The sequence below is a fragment of the Homo sapiens genome, chromosome 2 (genome assembly GCF_000001405.40).
Source record: "Homo sapiens chromosome 2, GRCh38.p14 Primary Assembly".
Classification (NCBI taxonomy): Eukaryota; Metazoa; Chordata; class Mammalia; order Primates; family Hominidae; genus Homo; species Homo sapiens.
The window spans coordinates 4,215,216-4,224,525 of record NC_000002.12 but is presented as its reverse complement, the minus strand read 5'-3'; the positions used below and the strand labels follow the sequence as shown (position 1 = coordinate 4,224,525).

General features: G+C 36.5%; 1 annotated feature.

Annotated features, from left to right (window-relative positions):
- Window positions 2,498–3,697: an enhancer, noted in NCBI's record as "MED14-independent group 3 enhancer chr2:4268419-4269618 (GRCh37/hg19 assembly coordinates)". NCBI's record gives its function as "activates an origin of replication core promoter dependent on BRD2, BRD4, P300/CBP and CDK7 cofactors, and independent of MED14, by STARR-seq in HCT116 cells {active_cell/tissue: HCT116}" and the evidence as "EXISTENCE:reporter gene assay evidence [ECO:0000049][PMID:35650434]".

Sequence of the window (9,310 nt, the reverse complement as noted above, 5' to 3'; positions counted from 1 at the left end):
TGCCACGTTTCTAGCATCTTCTCATCATGTGAAGCCATGCACAGAAAGCCCCTTAGCCACGTGAGCATCTCACACCTTTGCAGGCAGACGCTCACAGCTCCCTGGATTTCCACTACTCACAGACAATATCACCAACGTTTTCAAGCATTTCTTAGTTTCAGATGAATCACTTTTATCCCCTTTTCTCTAAACGATTTTTTTACATCTCATTTTTTTAAAAAATGGCCTAAAATACGTGCTTCCCAATCAGATGTTGAAGGTCAAAGCAAGGTGAAAGGACATGATGATACACAGGGAAAAAGGAGATAAATTTTTAAAACATGGTAACGGCATTTAGAGGTCTATGAAAACAATGAGGAGTTCATGGATCAAGATTTCTGTGGAGGGAGACCCACTCAGAAACGAACTCACGATACCAGCTGTTTTCCCCCCGGAGACATTTGCCAGTTCTGAGCATGGCTGTTGTTTCTGGTTTGGCCTAGTAGAAGGCTGTTTTCAGGGGAAAGAGGAACCAGCAGTAGTTTAATGACCGAGCAGGTCTGGAATAACAAATTGGGGAGCCTCAAATACGCAGCTGGTTTTCACTAAGAGACGTGTGCTATATCCTGAGGCTGCACAGGGGCTGAAGGGCTAGGCTGGGAGCTTCAAAAACAGCCTGAGATTTTCCATGCTCTCACAGCATCCAGATACCATGAGGCTCCAAGGGAAGTTCTGAACATAAAACACCTATGAGGCAAAAGCCCTAGGGGGCACTGAACCAACAGGAAAGATCCAAAACTAAGACTGAACTGGGGCACCTGCTGCTCACGGATGTCCAGAAAATGAGAATATAGGAGCCAGCAATGGCCTGTGGCAAAAGGCTATTTCTGAAGGAGAGAGAAACCAGGCAAGAACTAGAGTTCTCTTGGCAATAGACATGTCTTTACCAAGACATTTACCAAATTAGATGCTGTTTGTGACCAAACAAACAAACTCATCTGTGAAAAATAACTGACTCTTTCTTAGTTTGGGGGCTTGGGATGATCAACACTGGCCAGCCTGCCAGTTGAAAAGCTGGAACATCGTGCCTCAGAAACAGGGGGACTCAGAGTCTTCAAAAACCTGAAACCCACACTTGACCAACTAACTCCCTGACTTGATGAGGTGGCAGGCTCCCATGATGATATCTACCAAACAAGTGGTTAAATTTCACCATCACCAGAGCTTCCAAAGATCTCTAATACATAGTCCAAAATATAACTAGAAATGACTAAACATGCAAAGAGGCAAGATTATATGACAAAAAGAAAATAAGGGAGAAAAACAAAAAGAAACAACTGAAGCTGTCCTCAACATGATCAATACACTGGAATTAAAAATAAAGAATAAACTGTGAATAATATATTCAACAATATTGCAAAAGATAAAGATGTAACAGATGCTAAATGATTACCACATAATTAAAATCTGTATAAAATATTTAAGTGATCATCTCAATCCAAAAAATATATCTGAAATACACAACCTCAATGAATAAATGTAATAGCATATTAAATACAACAATAGGAAGGAAAATGCGATCTGGAAGTCAGGGAAGTATTAAGTACCCAAACTGAATACCAAAGAAATTATAGAAGAAAAAGAAAGCACACAGAAGAGAGGGTAATAAAATGTGGAACATATCCAAAGTGAAATTGGGGTCTCAGTAAGAGAGAATAGAGAGAATGGCCAAAAGCAATAGCAGTGAGATAAAGACCAAGGATGTTTTAAAACTGATTTAAAAAAAAATCAAAATAGAGTTTAAGAGTCTTACTAGGAAAAATACAGAGAAATAATGCTTAACCACATCATAGTAAAACTGTTTAAAAACTGATACAGTTTGGCTGTGTCCCTACCCAAATCTCATCTTGAATTGTAGCTCCCATAATTCCCTCCCCATGGGAGGGACCCTGTGGGAGGTAATTGAATCATGGAGGTGGGGCTTTCCCATGCTGTTCTCATAATAGTGAATAAGTCTCATGAGATCTGATGGTTTTATAAAGGGGAGTTCCTTTGAACACTCTCTGTCTTGCCTGCCACCAAGTAAGATGTCCCTTTACTCTTTATCTTCTGCCATGATTTTGAGGCCTCCCCAGACATGTGGAAGTGTGAATCCATTAAACCTCTTTTCTTTATAAATTACCCCATCTCAGGTATGTCTTTATTTGCAGGGTAAGAACAGACTATTACAAAATCAAAAGTAAAATCTTAAAAGTTTCAAGTGGAAAAGCACACAAGGTCTTTAAAAGAGCAGCAGCAGGAATCACAGTGGACTTCTCAAGAGAAAAAAAAATCAGAAGCCTGAAGACAAAGTAATGATATTTTTTAAGTGAACAGGTCTTTGTGTGGACATATGTCTTCATTTCTCTTGGGTAATAATATGGTTTGGATCTGTGTCCCCGCCCAAATCTCATATGGAATTGTAATCCCCAGTGCTGGAGGTAGTGCGTGGTGGGAGATGATTGAATCACGTGACGGTTTCTCATGAATGGTTTAACACCATCCCCTTTGGTGTTATTCTCGTAATAGTGAGTTCTTGTGAGATCTGGTTGTTTAAAAGTGTGTGGCACCTTCCCCATCTCTCTTCTCCAGCTCCAGCCATATAAGATGCACCTGCTTCTCCTTCGCCTTCTGCCATGATTGAAAGTTTTCCTGAGGCCTCCCCTCAGAAGCTGTCATGCTTCTTGTACAACCTGTGAGCCAATTAAGACTCTTTTTTAATATAAATTACTGCTATAAATAGCAGTACATGAACAGACTATAATACAGGTAAATATCTAGAAACAGAATTGCTTGGTTAAATGAAGCGTTGGATTAACTTTACAAAAAACTGCCAAACTGCCTATATTCCTATTCCATGACTCAGCAATTCTACTGAGATCTAAGTAACAGCATTGTGTACATTTGATTGCCAGAAGACAGGCAGAAGAGTGGTTATAGGTTTACTAATTTTAATAGTTATAGACTGGAAACATTTCAATGCCAATCAATAGTAAATAGGAAAATAATTGTTAGGATGTTTACCTAATGGACTATTTTATATATACAGCAATTAAAACAAATGACCTACAACTATACACAACAATATGGACAAATATCACTAACATAATGTTCACTATAGAAGCCAAACACAAAAGAACACATACTGTAGGATTCCATTTCTGTGATGCTCAGAAACAGAAAAGCTAACTAATGCTATCAGAAGCCAGGAGGAGGGCAGAGGGTGGCGGCGGCAGACCAGAGCATCGGTTTTGTTTATTATCTGGGTGCTGGCTACATGATAGCAGCCCATCTCCTACAGGAAATGCCACAGAAGCCAATATTCAAGGTGTAAAATGAGTGAGGGGATGTTCCAGACCAAGAGAGCAGCATATAGAATATATAGAGGAAGGCAGGAGAGGGTGATACCCTTGAGAAGGTGCAAGGAGAGGCAGGAGGGCAATGGAGAGGCGGGCAGGGTAGGAGAGAATCAAGTTGACTGACAGACAGAGACTGACCCTTTGCCCCTGGTCAGTAGATGCTGCTGCTTCAAAAACCAGCAGCAGAGTATGGAAGGAAGAGGACAAACTTAGGAAAGAAAACTCAAGGCACTGCATAAGAATCAGATATATCTTCTAATAATTGAATGAATTGTCTTATCTTTCTCATTCGAATATAACTTTCTCTTCAGTCTATGGACTGTCTCTTTTGGATATATATATTTCAGTATAATATTCTGCACACTGTAAACACAAGATGACTACTTATACAACGCCTCACTGAGTTAGAGCTGGACATCTGTCTTGTGAAATACACTGTGATTATTACATACGCTAATGCTGATTCGATTCATGCTCTTTTCCCTGTCTGAGACACCTTTTCCACCTCACTACAACCTACCTGCCAGAGAAGTTTCTATTCATCCTTCAAATTCCAACAAATGCACAGTGCTTTGTCTCTTGCATTCCCGTAATGCCTTGCTCACCCTCCTGTGGGACATCTACCATGCTGTAGTATTTTTTTAATCAATTCATTCCGTAAGCATCATGGCTCATTCACGTTTCTATATTCTGGGCCTACCAAGGTGTCTGCTATCAAGTAGAAGCTCAATAAACTGGAAAGAAGTGTTGCAATCTCTTTTCCAGTTGCTGGCAAGAGAACAAGTGATATTTATTCTCGAATCTTAAGAAAAGTTATAAATTAAATATCCAGAGATACCATTAGATGACTTTTTGTCCTATCAATCAGATATTTGAGTAATAGTATAAAATAAACTTTAGTTAGCATTCTGTAAACCTGAAGTCATACATGGAAAAAATAATTTCAAATTTACAACACAATTGGAGATGATTACAGTATTTTAGGCTCAATCAGTTGCCCCTTAATGGAAGCTCTGAAAGGACTCATTCGGATAACTTTTCTATCTGCTGTTGCCTTTAAGTATTTTTTTATCCTTCCATGATGAGGCTGGGCAGGATCCAGTGATTATCATTGATTATGGAGAATTGAAAAGAAGAGACATTGAGAATATTCACTAGTTATGCTTATAACCAAGATGATTATTATAATCCTCAGAGGAAGAGAGTAATTTTTACCAGCAAGCAGCCAGGTGCTAGAACAATGTTTGCAGCATGTATGAATCAGCTTCACACTACTGAGCTTACCACATACTGGCACATTCAAACAGTGACTTAACAAGAATAATTTATTTAAAGAGTGGATCATAAGCTTCACACAAAAATGCTGTCACAAAAGTGTTTCGGCTTAAAATCAGGAAATTCATTTCATTCTCCAAATCATACAGGAAATCATGTAAGAAAACAACAGATCCATTAAAGAACAGAAACTTACTTCCAGTTAATTATTCCTGTAATCAACCATCCCTTTTCTGTAAGATTGGGACTCCTTTCTGCATGTTAACAACTTATTTCCCTTGTCATACCAATTGTAAAAGATTCATTTCTGTATTTCTAAGTTAATTATGAGAACTGGGTTATAAATTTCGAAGCTACCTAGTTCTTTAGTTATATGTAATAATTTTCAAACTTTTTTTGTCACAGGTACTCTTTTTAAAGTCTCATTTAGTTTCAGATGGCTTTTAATTATGCTCACAAACTATTTCTTTTCCAGGTTTAGTCTTGGATTTGTGTTTTTTCCTTTTTAATGACCACCACATGCGGCACTTTTCATGTATCCTGCTGGGCTCTTGAAGCCTCTTGACAGTGTTAATACTGATTCTATTAAAAGAACAGCATTTGGGACCACAAAAGGAAAATCTCCTCCTGTGAAAAGAAAAAGTATTTTGTATTTTGATGAGGGGTGACAAAATAAACTGTTACAACAGAAATGGCTTTTATAGTGATAAAGTCAGAAAAGCTACAAAGGCTCCAAATGTCAGACACACTAATAATCAACCTTTAAGTGGGACAGTGTGAGGGAAAAAAAAGGCAATTAAAATTTTGCCACCAGAATCTAGGCCATGATTAATTGATGGATGTCCATATTTACCTTTTCTCTTCAAATAACGTATCAATATTGCATTATTTTATTAGGTACCTTATAAATGTACCTGATAACTTGTAAAACCACAATACGTTCTTTCTGTGGATAACTTTTGACCCTGATCACTTCAGCTTTAAAGATTTAAACCATTATTTACAGTATACATTTTTCATCATTTAAGTCCTGCCTACCAGCTAGTCTAGTAATTTTTCATCAAAAAATAATTTCTTAAAAATCATATATGATTTTAATTGAAAATCACTTGTATATCAAATAAAATGTACTTTCTCAGAGACAAGTAAGTTGTGTATAGAAAGGAATAGAAATAGCATTAATTTAGTATCTACCTAAAGTTTCAAATATTATAATAGATTCAAACATATGCTCTATTGTATGATCTTTACAAAAATGTGAGAGCGTATATTATTATTTCCCTTCACATATGGGAAACTAAAGTTCAAAACTGTTAAGTGCTTTGCCTAAGGCTGTATGCTTTAGGCAGGTCCAGAACTAAGGAGTTTCTGCGTATTCTAACTCTGAAGCTAATTTTTTTTCACTACGGAAACTCGTTTGCTAATATAAATGCAGACTTTTTTTAAAAAAAAGCTTTATTTGGAAACATGATGAAAAATGTGATGTATTAATACTTACTGATACTCCAAGAAAAAAATAATAAAATATTTAGAAAGCTCCTCCCATCATTTCCTTTGGCTTTTTAACTCTACCAGATCTTTGAGAATGCATATTGTTGCTGGTTAACCAGATGAACCACCCTTTCCTTACTAGTTCTGCAAGATTCAATATCATTCATAGTCTCCAGCACTCTAGAGTAATCATTACTAGCTGTTAGGAAAATTATGGTATTTCCTAAAAACTTTCTTTGTGACAAGTGAATAAACCAAAAGGATTAAAAAAAAGATGTTCCAGTTTGGGAAAAATAATGCAATGAATACTGCATCTGATGCACCATTTAAGAAAGAGAGAAAATAAAAATGCTCATTTCTAATTGTCCTCATTTCAGCAGCTTCCCAAATATTCTTCTATTTCTTTCTTTTTAAGTAATTACCACATTTTCATATTTGCTGAATCATGAAGAAACCACCACATTATTTTGTCACCAGAGTGCTTTTGTTTGTTTTTCTTACACTCCATTTACAAAACTGCTTACCATTTGGGGGAGATTAGACTACTTACTTAATTATTTTCAATCTTCAGTTTTCTCATTGGTAAAATCCAAGCTATGACAATGATGACAATGATGATGACAATGATTCTGATGACGATGATAATAATGTCCCCTACTTCATAGAGGTAGTTGTGAAGATGAAATAGGGTGTGTACCTCCCTTAGTATGTGAGCTGGCACAAATGACTTCTCTATCAGTGTGTTACAGGAGGCAGAAAAAGAGAGGTATTCTTAAAATGATTGTCATAATGATAATTTTAAAAATTGTTGCATCATTATGCAATAATTTTGTATGTGTGTCTTAAATATTTGGTAATGCTTCAGATGATATCTTCTTAAGATCAAAGTAATTATCTGGAAAGATCTGCAAGAAGCTTCTAAATTTTAATTTTTCCATAAATTTTGACTGTGAGCTCAAAGGTCACAACATTTTTTAATTGATGACCTTCAATAGCTACATGAAGTTTTAATTTTGACCTAGTTTTAGAAAAGCCTAATAAAGTCTGAAGGGTTGTAGGGGATTACAATGTTAGCAGGGACTGATTACTTGCTGAAGATAAACTTATAGCAGGACCTGTCTGATGAAAACCCAGGATTACGGTAATGAAGGATCATCGTGGCAGTTCTCTGTTAGTCTAACCAGACATTACCTCCATGCTCCTAACACATCTACAAGGATCAGATAATTTCATGCCTTCTTGCGCCTATGTAGGGTGTTCTAAATTATAATATAAACCACAATAAAGATTAATTTTGCTTTTAATACTAATTACTCTTTACTATTATCTTATCTAGCAACTGAACACAGCTCTCATAGTTATTGACTTCAAATCCCAGATGTGGCAATTATTAATTTTACTCAGAAATTGTCAACTAAAGGAAAAAATGTATATCATTTATCTCTAATGTGTCTTATCTCTAAATAAAATCAAGTAATTCAGAGATACTGGTTCATTTGTGTATTATAATACAAGAAGCAAATATATGTATATATTTTCTTGGCTTTATCTGTGACAAAACTTGCATAAGCTGATATGACAATGAATTTGCATTCTAACACAACTCAAACACATTTATCAATAAACGTATATGTGAAGCTTTTACAAGAAGCAGCCAATCATGGAGAATTATCCCGTAGGGTCTAGAAAGTCAAAGTTGACCTAAATTTATGTTCTTATATAACAGGAATGCTCCCATAAGTTTTTAGTTCATTTTTGGGAGTTGGGTTTGTTTTTTTGTGGGGTGTGTATGTGTGTGTGGTCAGTCCCCATTTGAAGGGAAAGAGGAATTCTGCAGGTGAATTTTCTAAAAGTAAAATCCAAATATAGAGAAACATCAAAGCGTGTAAAAACTGTCTCAAACTTTGCAGCTACAATTTGAAAAATCATTAAACACTATTTGGAGCTGTAGGACTTTGAGAAACCCATGCCCATCCACACTCTGGCCTCTGTAAATTTCGGATTCCCCCACTTTGACATAGAAATGGGAAGAATTTTTTTAAATAATAGTAGCTCCTAGAGGCCAGTCACGGTGGCTCATGCCTGTAATCCCAGCACTTTGGGAGGCTGAGACAGGTAGATCACTTGAGACCCGGAGTTATAGACCAGAATGGCCAACATGGCAAAACCCCATCTCTACTAAAAATACAAAAAATTAGCCAGGCATGGTGGCAGGTGCCTGTAACCACAGCTACTCTGGAGACTGAGGCATGAGAATCACTTGAACCTGGGAGATGGTTTCAGTGAGCTGAGATTGTGCCACTGCACTCCAGCCTGAGTGGCAGAGCAAGATACCATCTCAAAAAACAAAAACAAAAACAAAAAAACCTCCTAGAAATAGATACCTGTAAACTAAAACTATCCTCAAAATAAAGTTTCCTTCCCAATATCATACAGTTGGAGACAGTAAGAACCATCTCCAAATGGAACATTACTATCATATTTGAAAAATAAGGAACAGAAGATTAATACAGGCTAAGGGTCTATACTGCTTCAGGCATTGAGCAAAGTGCCTTACTTTTGCTGCCTACATATAATCTTTCAAATTAAGTACTGGACCATTACCCTCATTTGAGAAGTAATAAATGTGAAGTCCAGGGAGGTTAGCTAATTTCCTCAAAGTCACACAGCTAATGAGTACACACACGCTCTGATTTCACTTTGTATTCTACATGGACTTTACAACAAAGTCCTTGATAGGAAGTATCTCAACAATAATGGAGAAAGGGTAAATATGTTTAGACAGAGCTCTCTTCTCAGAAATATATATTCTAACAACAAATGAAAAACAGAAATAGAGGAATGAGTAAAAGGAAATGTTTATCTCATCAAAAGTCAGGTTAGAGAAAACCGTGAAAAATTTACAATATGTGTTGTAAGGTCCTTTCTGGCTCTACAAATATCACTACTCCAAGTTTCCTAGTGTTCAACACAGATAAGTATAAGAACTATACAATGCTCCAATAACTCCCAGGAAAGAATGCCCTAGACTCAAAAGAAGCCAAGGTCAGGATTCCAGCAGTGGTAAAATCATGCACAACAAGGAGGTAAGAAATAAGACTAAAATACTGGGACACACTAAAGGTATAATAATATCACATTGTAGAATAATGCACTGGATGTTGAAA